At 39.8% G+C, this 16,653-nt stretch overlaps 1 long non-coding RNA gene across 6 annotated transcripts in view; it reads right to left on the bottom strand.

Moving 5' to 3' along the window:
* PLCL2UT (PLCL2 upstream transcript) overlaps nucleotides 1-11,201 on the bottom strand; it is a 49,186-nt gene extending 37,985 nt beyond the window's left edge. For all 6 annotated transcript variants that reach the window (NR_199589.1, NR_199588.1, NR_199590.1 and 3 more), the window contains exon 1: nucleotides 10,932-11,201. This is a non-coding gene — a long non-coding RNA (PLCL2 upstream transcript). The remainder of the gene's footprint in view (nucleotides 1-10,931) is intronic.
* Between the last annotated feature and the right edge of the window lie 5,452 nt (nucleotides 11,202-16,653).

The following is a 16,653-nucleotide window of genomic DNA, read 5'->3' as shown; positions in this document are numbered from 1 at the left end:
TTTTTTAGTTCCATATGAAATTTATAGTTTTTTCTAATTCTTCAAAGAAAGTCAATGGTAGCTTGATGAGAATAACATTGAATCTATAAATTACTTTTGGTAGTATGGCCATTTTCACTATATTGATTCTTCCTATCCATGAGCATGGAATGTTTTTCCATTTGTTTGTGTCCTCTCTTATTTCCTTGAGTAGTGGTTTGTAGTTCTCCTTGAAGAGGTTCTACACGTTCCTTGTAAGTTGTATTCCTAGTATTTTATTTGCTTTGTAGCAATAGTGAATGGGAGTTCACTCATGATTTGGCTCTATGGTTGTCTATTATTGGTGTATAGGAATGCTTGTGATTTTTGCACACTGACTTTGTATCCTGAGACTTTGTTGAAGTTGCTTATCAGCTTAAGGAGTTTTGGGGCTGAGAAGATGGGGTTTTCTAAATATACAATCATGTCATCTGCAAACAGAGACAATTTGACTTTCTCAGTTCCTATTTGAATATCCTTTATTTCTTTCTCTTGCCTGATTGCCCTGGCCAGAACTTCAAATGCTATGTTGAATAGGAGTGGTGAGAGGTGGCATCCTTGTCTTGCGCTGGTTTTCAAAGGGAATGCTTCCAGTTTTTGCCCATTCAGTATGATATTGGCTGTGGGTTTGTCATAAATAGCTCTTATTATTTTGAGATGTGGTCCATCAATACCTAGTTTATTGAGTGTCTTTAGCATGAAGCGATGTTGAATTTTATCAAAGGCCTTTTCTGCATCTATTGAGATAACCATGTGGTTTTTGTCATTGGTTCTGTTTATGTGAGGGATTACGTATATTGATTTGCATTTGTTGAACCAGCCTTGCAACCCAAGGATGAAGCCGACTTGATCATGGTAGATAAGCTTTTTGATGTGCTGCTGGATTCAGTTTGTCAGTATTTTATTGAAGATTTTTGCATCAATGTTCATCAGGGATATTGGCCTGAAATTTTCTTTTTTCATTGTGTCTCTGCCAGGTTTTGGTATCAGGATGATACTGGCCTCATAAAATGAGTTAGGGAGAAGTCCCTCTTTTTCTATTGTTTGGAATAGTTTCAGAAGGAATGGTATCAGATCCTCTTTGTACCTCTAGTAGCATTCGGCTGTGAATCCACCTGTTCCTGGGTTGTTATTTTGTTTGTTTGTTTTTTGTTTTTTTGTTTGTTTGTTTTGTTTTGGTTGGTAGGCTTTTAATTACTGCCTCAATTTCAGAACTTGTTATTGGTCCATTCAGGAATTTGACTTCTTCCTTGTTTAGTCTTGGGAGGGTGTATGTGTCCAGGAATTTATCCATTTCTTCTAGATTTTCTAGTTTATTTGCAGAGAGGTTTTTATAGTATTCTCTGATAGTAGTTTGTATTTCTGTGGGATCAGTGGTGATATCCCCTTTATCTTTTTTTATTGTGTCTATTTGATTCTTCTCTCTTTTCTCCTTTATTAGTCTGGCTAGTGGTCTATCTATTTTGTTAATCTTTTCAAAAAACCAGCTCTTAGATTCATTGATTTTTTGAAGGGTTTTTTGTGTCTCTATCTCCTTCAGTTCTGTTCTGATCTTATTTCTTGTCTTCTGCTAGTTTTTGAATTTGTTTGCCTTGCTTCTCTAGTTCTTTTAATTGTCATGTTAGGGTGTCAATTTTAGATCTTTCCCACTTTCTGATGTGGGCATTTAGTGCTATAAATTTCCCTCTTAACACTGCTTTAGCTGTGTCCCAGAGATTCTGGTACATTGTCTCTTTGTTTTCATTGGCTTCAAAGAACTTCTTTATTTCCTCCCTAATTTCATTATTTACCCAGCTGTCATTCAGAAGCAGGTTGTTCAGTCTTCATGTAGTTGTGTGATTTTGAGTGAGTTTCTTAACCCTGAGTTCTAATTTGATTGCACTGTGGTCCAAGGGACTGTTTGTTATGGTTTCCGTTCTTTTGCATTTGCTGAGGAGTGTTTTACTTCCAATTATGTGGTCAATTTTAGAATAAGTGCCATGTGGTGCTGAGAAGAATGTATATTCTGTTGATCTGGGGTGAAGAGTTCTGTAGGTGTCTGTTAGGTCCACTTGGTCCAGAGCTGAGTTCAACTCCTGAATATCCTTGTTAATTTTCTGTCTCATTGATCTGTCTGATATTGACAATGGGGTGTTAAAGTCTCCCACTATTATTGTGTGGGAGTCTAAGTCTCTTTCTAGGTCTCTAAGAACTTGCTTTATGAATCTGGGTGCTCCTGCATTGGGTGCATATATATTTAGGATAGTTAGCTCTTCTTGTTGCATTGATTCCTTTACCATTATATAATGCCCTTCTTTGTCATTTTTGATCTTTGTTGGTTTAAAGTCTATTTTACCAGGGACTAGGATTGCAACCCCTCCTTTTTTTTTTTTTTTGCTTTCCATTTGCTTGGTAAATATTCCTCCATCCCTTCATTTTGAGCCTATCTGTGTCTTTGCATGTGAGATGAGTCTCCTGAATACAGCACACCAATGGGTCTTGACTCTTTATCAAATTTGCCAGTCTTTATCTTTTAATTGGGGTATTTAGCCCATTTATATTTAAGGTTAATATTGTTATGTGTGAATTTGATTCTGTCATTATGATGCTAGCTGGTTATTTTGCCCATTAGTTGATGCAGTTGCTTCATAGTGTTGATGGTCTTTACAATTTGGTACTGGTTTTTCCTTTTCATATGTAGTGCTTCCTTCAGGAGCTCTTTTAAGGCAGGCCTGGTGGTGACAAAATTTCTCAGCATTTGGTTGTCTGTAAAGGATTTTATTTCTCCTTCACTTATGAAGCTTAGTTTGGCTGGATATGAAATTCTGGGTTGGAAATTTTTTTCTTTAAGAATGTTGAATATTGGCCCCCACTCGCTTCTGGCTTGTAGGGTTTCTGCAGAGAGATCCGCTGTTAGTCTGATGGGTTTCCCTTTGTGAGTAACCTGACCTTTCTCTCTGTCTGCCCTTAACATGTTTTCCTTCATTTCAACCTTGGTGAATCTGACGATTATGTGTCTTGGGGTTGGTCTTCTTAAGGAGTATCTTTGTGGTGTTCTCTGTATTCCCTGAATTTGAATGTTCACCTGGCTTGCTAGGTTGGGGAAGTTCTGGATAATATCCTGAAGAGTGTTTTCCAACTTGGCTCCATTCTCCCTGTCACTTTCAGTTACACCAATCAAACGTAGGTTTGGTCTTTTCACATAGTCCCATATTTCTTAGAGGCTTTGTTTGTTACTTTTCATTCTTTTTTCTCTGATCTTTTCTTCACACTTTATTTCATTAAGTTGATCTTCAGTCTCTGATATCCTTTCTTCTGCTTCATCAATTCAGCTGTTGATACTTGTATATGCTGCACAAAGTTCTCATGCTGTGTTTTTCAGCTCCATCAGGTCATTTCTGTTCTTCTCTAAACTGGTTATTCTAGTTAGCAATTCCTCTAACCTTTTTTCAAGGTTCTTAGCTTCCTTGCATTGGGTTGGAACATGCTCCTTTAGCTCAGAAGAATTTGTTATTAACCACCATCTGAAGCCTACTTCTGTCAATTCGTCAATCTCATTCTCTATCCAGTTTTGTTCCCTTGCTGGCAAGGAGTTGTGATCCTTTGGAGGAGAACAGGTGTTCTGGTTTTTGGAATTTTCAGCCTTTTTACGCTGTTTTTTTCTCATCTCCATGGATTTATCTACCTTTGGTCTTTGATGTTGGTGACCTTCAGATGGGGTTTCTGTGTGGACATCCTCTTTGTTGATGTTGATGTTATTCCTTTCTGTTTGTTAGTTTTCCTTCAGGCCCCTCTGCTGCAGGTCTGCTGGAGTTTGCTGGAGGTCCATTCCAGACCCTGTTTTCCTGGGTATCACCAGTGGAGGCTGCAAAACAGCAAAGATTGCTGCCTGTGCCTTCCTCTGGAAGCTTTGTTCCAGAGGGGCACCTGCCAGATGCCTCCTGTATGAGGTGTCTGTTGACCCCTCCTGGGAGGTGTCTCCCAGTCAGGAGGCACAGGGGTCAGGGACCCACTTGAGGAGGCAGTCTGTCCCTTCACAGAGCTCAAGCGCTGTGCTAGGAGTTCCACTGCTCTCTTCAGAGCTGGCAGGCAGGAACATTTAAGTCAGCTGAAGCTGTACCCACAGCCGCCCCTTCCCCCAGGTGCTCTGTCCGAGGGAGATGGGAGTTTTATCTATAAGCCCCTGACTGGGACTGCTGCCTTTCTTTCAGAGATGCCCTTCCCAGAGAGGAGGAATCTAGAGAAAAAGGGAGTGGTGGGAGTGTAAATTAGTTCAACCATTGTGGAAGACAATGTGGCAATTCCTCAAGGATTTAGAACCAGAAATACCATTTCACCCAGCAAGCCCATTACTCGGTATATACCCAAAGGATTATAAATCATTCTACTATAAAGACACATGCACGCATATGTTTATTGCAGCACTGTTCACAATAGCAAAGACTTGGAACCAATCCAAATGCCCATCAGTGATAGACTGGATAAAGAAAATGTGGTATATATACACCATGGAATACTATGCAGCCATAAAAAAGAATGAGTTCATGTCCTTTGCAGGGACATGGATGAAGCTGGAAACCATCATCCTCAGCAAACTAACACAAGAACAGAAAACCAAACACCACATGTTCTCACTCATAAATGGGAGTTGAACAAGGAGAACACATGGGCACAGGGATGGGAACATCACACACCGGGGCCTGTTGTGAGGTGGGGGGCTAGGGGAAGGATAGCATTAGGAGAAATACCTAATGTAGATGACGGGTTGATGGGTGCAGCAAACCACCATGGCACATGTATACCTATGTAACAAACCTGGACATTCTGCACATGTATCCCAGAACTTAAAGTATAATTTAAAAAAAGAAAAAATTATTAAAATTGTAAATTTTATGTTATGTATATTTTACCACAATAAAAAAATTTGTTAATGTCATTCCTCTATTCCACCTTCATCTTCTTGAATCTCATCCACACACTTTGTGAGGGCTGGGGCCATGTGTTTCTTTCTCACCTCTGCATCTGTGGCCCCAGAGCAGAGGCTGACCCATTGCACACACTCAATTAATATTTTCTTAATTAAGGAATGAATAAAAGCTAAAGTATATTAAAGGAGGGAGACACAGTAGAAGAATTTGAGATGGGTAAGTTCAGAGTAAGTGTTTTCCAGAACTCCAAGATTAACAATATGATCTAGGGAACAAACAAGGAGATTGAGAATAAGAAGACTTTGCCCTATGGACTCTAACTCCATCTCTTCTTCTCTGGGCTAAGTTTACCCCTCAGACTGTCTTGAACTGGTGAGAACATATCTGATTATCTTTAAGTATGATTCACTCTTTGGAAAATCATGCTATTAGGCCTGATTGAGTAGTGAAAACCTTAATTATTCAAAATGAATTCATTTAAGCTGCCTAATTTCATTAGTTAGTATTCTTTTAACTCCAAGTTAAAAAAACCCACATCAACATGACTTGAACAATAAGATTCAACAATATCTTCAGGCTGATGTCCAGCTCTTTCTATATATTCTTTCTTTATATTTTGTATAATATCAGCAGAAACACTAATTGTTTCATGATAGATTCATCTGAAATGTGACAAAGAGTCTTCTCTTGGCCAAACTTTACTCAGGATTCTGGACCTTCTCCCAGGGCCCATCTGTGCACTTCCTTGTAAAATCCAGCTTTAGCAAAGGGACCTGCTTAGTAAGTTTAGCCAGAACGCTCTGTCTTCAATATCTGATTATCCTTGATATCTGATTATGTTACACACCCTCCATCATCCCCCAGGTGATGTCTGATCACCCTGGCCTGTCTTCAGCAAGAATCTTGTTGGGTCGGTTTAGCCAGAATCTCCCTTAGTAATTTTCCAACCACTGACCCTCACCCTGCTCCTTGGCTGTAAATTTCTCCTTTCCATATTCAGAGTTGAGTCCAATCTCTCTCCCTGACTGCAAGATCCCATTTTAATTGTCCCCACACCTATTGTAATGGTCTTGAATTGAAGTCTTCCTTACCATGCTTTAACAAGTATCATTGAATAATTTGTTTCTCAACAAATTTACTCATCCTTACAGAAGTGAAGCAGCCTGAACCAAGAGTGTTACTAATTCACTGTTGGGGAGGGGAGTAATGAATCGTGAATACACAGTCCTTTCCTCCAGTACCCCTCATTGTTGGAGAGTATTCATCCACAGTGATTAGGCTGGAGATCAGTCAGGAGTGGGTACACCAGAGGGATATCTTGGAATCAGTTTATATCATAATGAAAGAGCAGTGGTTCTCAAATATGGGTAATTTTGCCTCCCCAGGGGACATTTGGCAATATATAGAGGATTTTTTTTTTTGTCTAAACTGGGGTGGAGGTGGGGTGATAGTCCTCCTGGAATGCAGTGAGTAAAGGCCAGGATGTTACTAAACATCTTAGAATGCAGAGGACAGCCCTCTTACCTCACAAAGAAATATCTGGTCCAAATGTCAAGAGTAACAAGGTTGAAAACCCCTGAGACACAACGTTAGATCTGTATACCCATAGTAAAAAATTTCTGTCTAGAAGTTGAAAGAGAATAGGCACCATGATAAAATGAGCAAAAAGAATCTTGGAACTAGACTTCATAATGAACATTAGATCAACAGAAAGCCCTTGTTTCAAAAGCAATTGGCTGAAAATGTAATACATTATTTGTTCAGACGAAAATGCCAACCTGCTGATAAGGAATGAGGTTGACATGGTCTATTCCTTGTTAAAGTCCTAGAAGTTAAGTCCCTGGGTGCCAGTGTGGGCTCCTGCACTAACTAAGTAGTTGTGTTATTGTAAAGTCACTTAAAGATAGAAGGACCAATTTCCCCAGATGGATCACTGGGTTTCAAACACTTCTATCTGCCTCTGGAGGTGCCACAGGGATTTTCTGGTGAGGGGTACAAGTAATCCGCCTGCCCCCTTTTCACCCTCCTGCACCAAATCACCTATGCTTTATGTATTTGACATGAAATAGGTCAAAATATAAGCAGTATAATTCATATGTGCTAGATTATATATATGCAGTGTTCCTTTGTTTCTAGAATTGATCTCATTGTCCTCTTAGGTGTTCTTTCCAGTGGAGAGAGTAAAATCTTAAACTCATTGATTAAAGTTATCTCAATATTTTCCTGTTTAAAACAGCCTTTTTCAGTTTACTAACACCAAAAATTTTTTATCTATGGGGTTTTTTCTTTGTTCAGTTTTCAGTAAACAGCAGAATACCTTCTTCAAATGATATAGAAGCCAAGTATAGACATGATGGAGTAAAAACAGTAAATATCAGCCAGGCACGTTGGCTCATGCCTGTAAGCCCAGCACTTTGGGAGGCTGAGGCAGGTGAATCACAAGGTCAGGAGTTTGAGACCAGCCTGGCCAACATGGTGAAACCCTGCCTTTACTAAAAATACAAAAAATTAGCTGGGTGTAGTGGTGCACACCTGTAATCTCAGCTACTCAGGAGGCCAAGGCAGGAGAATCACTTGAACCCAGGAGGCGGAGGTTGCAGTGAGCCCAGATCGTGCCACTGCACTCCAGCCTGGGCGACAGAGTGAGACTTCATCTCAAAAAAAAAAAAAAAATGTAAATGTCTAGTCATATAGTCAAATCAAATGATGCAACTTGGCTGTTTTCTCTCTTCTCCAAGATAGCATCTAGAGGGAGGAAAATTGCATGATCTCCAGGGGAGAAGCCCGCTGGCCTATGTGCAGGTTTTCATGCTGTCCTCTGAAAACCACCTGGTTCCTTGTTTCTACTGGTCACTAGATGACTGGCTATCATCAACGATGCTTGATGATTTGAGCTGTTCTCTTTGGCACCCCTGGGACCAGGTGGTTCCCTGACCACCTCCCCCAGCCAGCCCAGCCCACCCCCACCGCCTGCTATATCTGATTTGTTTAGGCCTTTCAATACTGGGAGAGCAGCAGGGCTGCCATTCTCCACCCAAGCTCTGAGAATACCACATTAAGGACTTAGTTTTGGCTACATTAATATTTGCTTTATTCACCTCATTTCTTAACGACCATTTAAAGTTTTCCACTTTGCTTAGCCAAATTTGTGCACAATTTGCCCCTCTTTCTTTCCCCTTTGTTGTACCTATTCTCTTATAAATCATTCTAACCTATTTCCCTATCTGTTGTTTCAGCATAATTTTTCCTTTCATAGGGGTTCTGAGGCTAGCAGCTGTAGCTTGGAATAGAAGGAATCCAGGCTAGACCCAGGATGGGGGTCCACACAAACACTTTCTTTTGTTTTTATTTTAACTATATTCGTTGGTAGAGGCTCTACAGGCTAATAGTTGCAGCTTGAACCAGCTGGAATCCAAGCTTTGCCCAGCATTAGGATTTACACCAAAATTCTTGCATTACTTCTTACTCACATTTTAGATATGACAGATAACAGTAACCAAATATCATATATTTTTCTTTTTCTTTTTCTTGTTACTCTGCATTTCCTTAGGCATCCAGTGAGACAACTTCTTAGAGTTGGGTCCATCATTTTAAAATTCCATTGGTAACTTTTACCTTCAGTAACTGATTATAGCACAGCTATAGTTCCATATCATGGCTGACTCTGTAGCCATCCAGAAATGAAAAGTTCATTAACATCCACCCTTTCATCCTTTTTCTTCCCAAACTACATGCTCCAGTGAGTCAGGTTTGGTCCCATGAATCCCTCTTCTGACACCAACTGTGATAATTTGGAGCCAACTACAAGTTTAGAGAGCACAATATCCACAAAATGGCCCTCACTTCTGACAGCAACTGCAATTTCTGGTAGGTTCCCAAAGCCACTTTCAGTTTTCATAATTTTCCATAAGGACTCACAGGATTTCACTGAAAGTTGTTATACTGATTTTTACAGTTTATTATAGGGAAAGGATGCATATTCAAATTAGTCAAAGGAAGAAGTACAGGGCAGAGTTTGGGAAGATGCCAAACCTGAAGCTTCTGTGTCCCCTTTCCTGTGGAGTCAGCATGTATACTTTCCCAGCATCAATGTGTGGCAATATGCAGAGTATTGCCAGTGAGAGAAGCTCACCTGAACTTCAGTATCCAGAGTTTATATTGGGGTTTCATTATGTGCACATGACTGACAGACTGCCAACATGATTGAATTCAGTCTCTAAGTTGACTTACACCATGTGACCCAAAGCTCACACTCTGAATCACATGTTGATCTTTCTAGCATGACCAGCCCCCACCCTAAATCACATATTTGGTCTTTCTTGTGTAGCTAGCCTCACCCTAAGATCTGGTGTGGCCAGCTGCCACCCTAAACAAGGACACTCCCATTAAGTATTATATAGATCAACTCTCAGAAGCTGAGGGCAAAAGCTAGTCCTCTCTCGGGGTGAGGCCAAATTTTTTACTACACAGACCTGTACCTCACACCATATATAAATATTGACTCAAAATAGGCCAAAGACCTAAATTTAAGAGCTAAAACTATAAAATTCAGAATAAAACAAAGGTGTAAATTTTCATGACCTCCCACTAGGCAGAGGTTTCTTAGATACATCACCAAAAGTACAAGTGACAAAGGCAAAAATAGATAAATGGGACTTGACCAAAATGTAAAATATTTGTGTCTTAAAGGACACTATCAAGAAAGTGAAAAACAACCTACAAAATGGGTGATAATATTTGTACTTTTTTTTAGTATTTATAATGAATTTTTAAAATTTAATCTTTATTGGTTTAACTATAAAATTAATATTGCTCATTCTAAAATATCACATTTTAGGAGTTTATAACCCACCAAAAGGGAATCCAATAGTAACTTCCTATAAGAAAGCTACTCTTAACAATTTGGGGCAATATTCACAGAAATAACATTTTTACAAAAAATTTAAACTTTAAACACTGCTTTACAACTTGTTGTTTTCCCTTAATTTATATCAAGGCCACATTCTGTGTCAGTAGTTACATTGCTATTTCGTATTATACTATATGAATTTACAATTATTTACTGCTTCTCTATGAATGCACACTGGGGTTGTTTCCATTTTTTCTTTATTAAAAACAGTGCATCAGTGGGCATCCTTCATATGTAATTTTGATTGAAGTTACACATGAATAAAAGTCAGAGCTAACTGTGTAGATGTCTTTTCAAGTACTTCAGTGGATATCTGCTGTTTTGACCTGCCCAGTTAATTCTCTCATCTTCCTGTAACACATCCCATTTTCCTTTGGAGAATTGCCTCCCATATTCCATGCAGTTCTTAATGGGGCTGCAAATCAGAGTACCCTGCTACTCTGGCCATAGTAATTAGTGCAATAGGAGAGCCTGTGACCCAACCGAGTAATCAGATCCCTTCTCTGGGATTTAACATACGAATCCTAGCAAAGAAAAGCTCTTTCTTTACTTGGAGATGGTTCCTGGAAACATAGGAGCCTAGAGCTCTGTAGCCAGACTATCCCTTCCTTACTGCCTGAAGGGATCCCACTTAGAGTCAGAAAAATAAAATAGGTAAGAATGAGACTATTGCACAGAGGAAAACAGGTATGATCAAGAATGAGCTAATGACATTCACATTACTGAATCCAGTCCTAACCGAAGCAGTATCCACTCCTAGACTTCCCAGTTACTATATATAACAAATTCTCTTTTCTGTAGTTGGGTTTCTGTCTTTCATACAATAGTCCTCCCTTATCTGTGTGGTTTTGCTTTCCACGGTTTCAGTTACCCACGTTCAATAGCAGTCTGAAAATAGATGAGTACACTGCAATAAGATATTTTGAGAGAGAGAGAAAGCATGTTCAGATAACTTTTATTACAGTATATTGTTTTAATTGGTCCATTTTATTACTAGTTATTGTTGTTAACCTCTTACTGTGCCTAATTTATAAATTAAACTTTATCATAGACACATATGTATAGAAAAAAACAGTATATATTAAATTCGATACTACCTTCAGTTACATGCATCCATTGGGAGTCTTGGAATGTATTCCCTGTGAATAAGCGGGGACCACCGCAATGGAAAGCCTCACTAGTCATTACATTATTCAGCATCTTTTTACATCTGATGTCAGACTAGAAGTCTGGATGTGGCAGAATTCTAGTTGGTGCTAAAAGAGAAAGGCCCCATCTACTAACATACATGCAGTCAGCACAAACCACATAATCCCTAAGCACCTAGTGGCTGTTTGGCTGTACTGGCTCCTTGGTTTCCTAGCAACCAAGCTCCTTTCTTCTTCACACACTCACACCTTTTGTGACATTGCCTTCTCAAGGCTGCCCTTAATGTGAATGTTTGGGAGGTAGAAAAGGAAAAGGCAAGGAAATATACACAATATAATTTGCTCCAGGACTGGAGACTTGAGAACATATGCTAGAGGTGGCCTAGCTTACAGATTCAGAAAATTCACTGGCAGACTGAAAATAGCAAGAAGCCGGGCACAGTAGCCTGGGTCTGTAATCCCAGCTACTCATAGGCCAAGGTGGGAGGATTGCTTGAGGTTAAAAGTTTAAGACCAGCCTAAGAAACATAGCAAGACCCTGCCTCTAAAATTAAAAAAAAATTAAAAAAAAAAAAAAGTTGGTCATGGTAGTGTGTGCCTGTAGTCCCGGCTACTTAGGAGGTTGAAGTGGGAGGATCACTTGAGCCCAGGAGTTCCTGGGTGCAGTAAGCCATGCTTGCACTATTGTACTCCAGCCTGGGTAACAGACAGAGACCTGTCTCTAAATAAATAATCAGTTAAGTAAAGCAAGAGATTTTGCTTTGGTGTTAACATTCTTGCCTGCTTATACCTAATTATTTTTGTTAAAAAAATTAGTATGTATATTATTCAGTTAGGGCTACCACAACAAAATACTATAGATTAAGTGGCTTAAACCACAGAAATTTATTTATGCACAGTTCTGGAGGCTAGAAGTCCAAGATCAAGGTTCTAGTCAATTTGGTTTCTGGTGGAGTCTTTATTCCTGGCTTGCAGATGACCACCTTCTCACTATGCCCTCATATCACCTTTCTCCCATGTGTGCAGGGAACAGAGGGTGCACAGTCAAAGGATCTTTCCTCCCCTTCTTACAAGGTCACTAATCCCACCATGAGGGCCCCACCCTCATGACTTTATGTAACCCTAATTACCTCCCAAAGTCCCCATCTCTAAATAATATCACATTGGGAATTAGGGCTTTAGCATATAAATTTGGGGTGGGGGTACACAAACATTCAGTCCACAACAATACCTGAATATTAATAAAAGATGTTTTATATTCGTAATTCACATGATATTCACAACAGTGATGTGATAAGATAGGTTATATTGATAAAATTTTACATAATTGAAAAGTTAAGGGACACAGTCAGAAGACCAGAACAGCATTCCTCCCATCTGTGGACTAATTTATATTGTCTTCTGATCCCAGAGGCTTTCGATAATTTTCTCAGTCACAAGCAATGTCATATTAGGCACAACACTGCTAGAACTATGGTTTATTTGCTACTTTTTTTGGCAGCACACAAGGCCCTTTCCCTCAGTATTAGTTCCAATGCCGCATTATATAGAAATCAGTTAATAAATAGATGTTGTCATGAGGATGGCTACATAGGGTGCATAAATTTACAAGAGGAGAGCAACAGACTGAAATGTTAAAACTGATTTTATTTTCATTCAGTGGCATTGGATGCACTGGCAGCTCTGTCCATCCAGAGGCTCTCCAGAGTCTGCCTGGCCCTTGACCCCAGGCTCTCTCTCCTACCACATCAATCTATTTCTAAGAGTCTACTTCCAAATAGAACTGGAACCTGCTGCATGTCATCTTCTCTATTACCAACACCTGCAACAACATCTTAGTTGGTTTTTCTGTTTCTTCTCTGGGGTTGCCAAATAAAATACTGGACACTCAGTTAAACTTTAATTAGAGATAAACAATGGACAGGTTTTTTTTTAGTATAAACTGGGCACCATATATATATACATATATGTGTGTGTGTGTGTGTGTGTGTGTGTGTGTGTGTGTGTGTAAATACGTATTATATATGTATTTTTTCTAATTTTGGCAATTCTTCCTCTAGTTAATAGCTGTTTGAAAACGCAAAGCTGATTACTTCCCTCCCCTGCTTAAATTCTTCAAAATTGTGCCATTGCTCTTAGGAAAAAACTCAACTTCTTAACGTCAAAGCCTGCATGACCTAGTCCCCCCAGATAAGTTGGATTCTGGAGCCAAATTGCTTAGGGCTCATTTTATATATCTCACTCAAAGGAGCCTTCCTAACATCTCGATCCTAAAAAAAGTACCCTCCTATAATCCCTCATTGTGCCCTTTACTTTCCCGGCATGGCCCTTGTTGAGGAGGATGGATCACTTATTCCCCTTTCCCTGTGTTTCCAAATAGGGGGCCCTCCACTGGGGTAACACTCCTCACCTCTTGCCTTGCCCCTAGTGGAGGAGCAACCACTTCTCTTATTGGTGGGTTTGGGGAAAGAACTGGCCATGTGTGGCCTGGCCCTTCCCACTTGAAGAAATTGCTGGTCGGGACTCTTCTACACCTGCAAGTAGACTGACAGGACAGATCGGTTCCTGGGGCCTGGGATTATGCAGAGAAGGGTGATAAGTACAATTCAGCTGTAGCACATTAACAAGCCCAGTTGGTCAGACCTAAGCCATATTCTTCTTATTAGTAATGAAAGTGATAGTGTACCTCCATCCCCTTGACTCCTATGCCTGTCTCAGCTGTTTCTAAGTCAAGATAAGGGGAAGAGGAACATGTTAATTATTAACTTCCTAAACTCTCAGTAGCTTTCACTACAATATATTTATTTATGTTTGTTTAGCAGTTTATTGAATGTGTAGGGACCATGCCTGTTTTACTTACTGTTGCATCCCCGAATGTCTACTACAGTGCTAGGCATAGGTTTTATCTTTTTTATATCGGGATGATTGAATAAATAAATAAATAAATAATAAATAAATGGTACCTTGTTGCCTACCACAGTCCTGCCACCCACACCACTCTGAGCATACATACAGCCTAGGATGGGGAGGGGAGTTGAGTCCTAACTCTGATCACTTGGCGATAGCTGTTTGGTGCTCCATGTTGAGAAACGCACTGAGATTGTGCTTAACCTCATCATAAAATTGCACCATGATCAATTCTTCATGTCTGCCACGCATGCCAGAGTGGGCAGTGTGGGACAGCGTGCATAGATTTGCCCTTCTCGGCTTAGAAATGTCTGGGGCCATATTGTTCCCCATCAGATGTACTCACTTGGAGCAAGGCCAGTCTAGATGGGATTTCAGCTGCTGTTCTTTTCTGGACACTGATTTGGACATCTGGTCATTTCCTGCTGAGCCTATCCTACAGCGGAGTGAGTGCTGCAAATGCAGTCCCCATTCACTTCCTCCTAGCTTCCTCCCCTTTCTTACTGGGTCCAATGGAGGCCCAGCAGGAAGCAGTCACATAAATTATGAAAAATTTTGTCACAGCCCATAAACCTCACTATGGTGGAAGGAAACAGGTTATAGGCTGGCTTCAGTTGAGGCAAATCTCAAGGAAGATCTCTCATGAGACAGTCAATTCAGCTGTAATTCAAAGACTTTCTTCTAACACTAGGGGTTCTGCCTAAGGGAAGTCTCCTTGGAGTGACTCCAATCCTGAAGCTGTGGATCTTCTGGCTCATATGGTCTGCTTCCATCCATTCAGACAAGGCTGCTTGCTTTCGTTTTTGAGATTATTTTTGTGTGTGTTTGTCTTTAGGGGAGTATGATCTTTCCCAGTTGGTGTTCTAAGTACTCCTCTATATATAGCTTCCATTCTCCGTGGTCACTCTATCCTCCATCCCCTCAGACAGTCTCATCTCTTCTCTGACACAGCTTACACCCACACCTTCGCTAGATTTTAATCATCATCATCACCTCATGTCTCCTCTTCCTGTCTTTCCCTTTTATTTCCCCTCCCAAATTCTATGGTCCTTTGCATTTCTGACCCTGGTTATCACCTGTCCCAGCCAAAGATTCTTTCTCCTAGCCCAGTGGTTCTCAACCCTGGCTGCACATTAGAAATCACTTGAGGATCTTTTGAAAAATCTAATGCCCAGGTGACACCCAGACCAATTAAATTAGAATCTCTGAGGATGCAACCTGAGCATCAGTATTTTTTAAATCTCCCTAGGTGATTACAAGGTACAGGCAAAGATGACAACAACAGCTCCAGCCCCAGCGTGGATATTTACAAAGCACCATTCGGGATTTTTGAACTATATAACTATACGTTAAAAGCATCCTCCACCTACTGACCTTCATTAGTCATACAGAAGATTTTAGAATTGAATGAATGGGGTACCTCAGAGGCATCTAGCATTTGATAGAACAGGAGACCTGCAGGATGTTCACAGCAATTGGAAAAAAAAAGATTCTGTCATCAAGTTTGTATAGTACTTCATTCTATATACACTTTCGGAGATTTACAAGGCAAATTTACCTCAAGGTTCTGATAAATGCGCAGAAAAAAAAAGAGACAACAGTAATTCATTTAACTTGACATCTAGGTTTTCCAAATTTATTTAAGGACACCTATTAACACCTTAGGGAACTCACTTTTAAAACTCTCTTAATCCAACTTTTTCATCTGACCAAGGCATGGAGGGGTTAAATTATTTAAACCCTTAATATTTACACAGGTCACCTCGTGATGAATTTTTGCATTATTAAGGATTGAATTTCATTTTCCTTTAAATATGTAGTACTTCCTCCCTAGCTGTGGTGCATTTCTGCATTCCTTCGCATGAGACACGATCATTAAGGTTCAAAGGCACTGAAGTGGCAGTGTTAGTAACAACTGTTGGTTGAATATTAATCAGATATTGGGTGAAATACTTTAAATATTATAGTTTATTTATTAATTCAACAAATCTTGATTGAATGCTTTCCTCTCTAGAGTAGCATCTTGTGCATATTTAGCAGGAGTATATGCAACTGTGGAATAACAGGAACAATAACAGTAATAATACCTAAATGTTCTATAGCATTTAGCATGAGTCAGACACATGGGCTTTACCTTTATTAACTCATTTATGTCTCACAATAACCTCTATGAGGTTGGTTGTATTATTTTCCTCATTTCACAGATGGGAAACTGAGCCACAGAGAGGTTAAATAAGTTGCCTAAGGTCACAGCACAAGCTAGTCAGTGATGGAGCAGGCTTTCAGTCTGTTTCCAGTGGACAGACTCTTAACCACTCCTCTACACCATGTGCTTCATAACATGTGGACAACAATCTAAATAGTGAGATCATTTCTATCTGCCAGTTTATTTAATGAGCTTGGGGTGGGGGTTCCATATTTCTCTCAGAGTAAAAGTATCTTGCTGCATTGAGTGTAATCCCTTTGTTTAAAAATCCTACTGTTTAAATGCTACAACACCTAATACCAGCTATTTCACCTGCTGAAATAAAGATCTGTTCCAATGTTGTGGTAGAAATGACAGTGTGGGCTTCTAAAAGAAGTGTAGGCTTCCAGCAGGCTGCTCTCCAACATGGCAAAATCCTAAGGAACTATTCAAGGGCAATTTTAACTATATTCAATTTTCACCTTAAATCCTCAATTACCATTTGAGATGTGCACGGTGCTGAGTACTTGCCATTGAGATATAAAGAAAAGTCTGCTGGGGGACTTCTGGGAAAGCCAT

The sequence above is a fragment of the Homo sapiens genome, chromosome 3 (assembly GCF_000001405.40).
Source record: "Homo sapiens chromosome 3, GRCh38.p14 Primary Assembly".
Lineage (NCBI taxonomy): Eukaryota > Metazoa > Chordata > Mammalia > Primates > Hominidae > Homo > Homo sapiens.
This window is presented reverse-complemented; position numbering and strand designations above follow the sequence as displayed.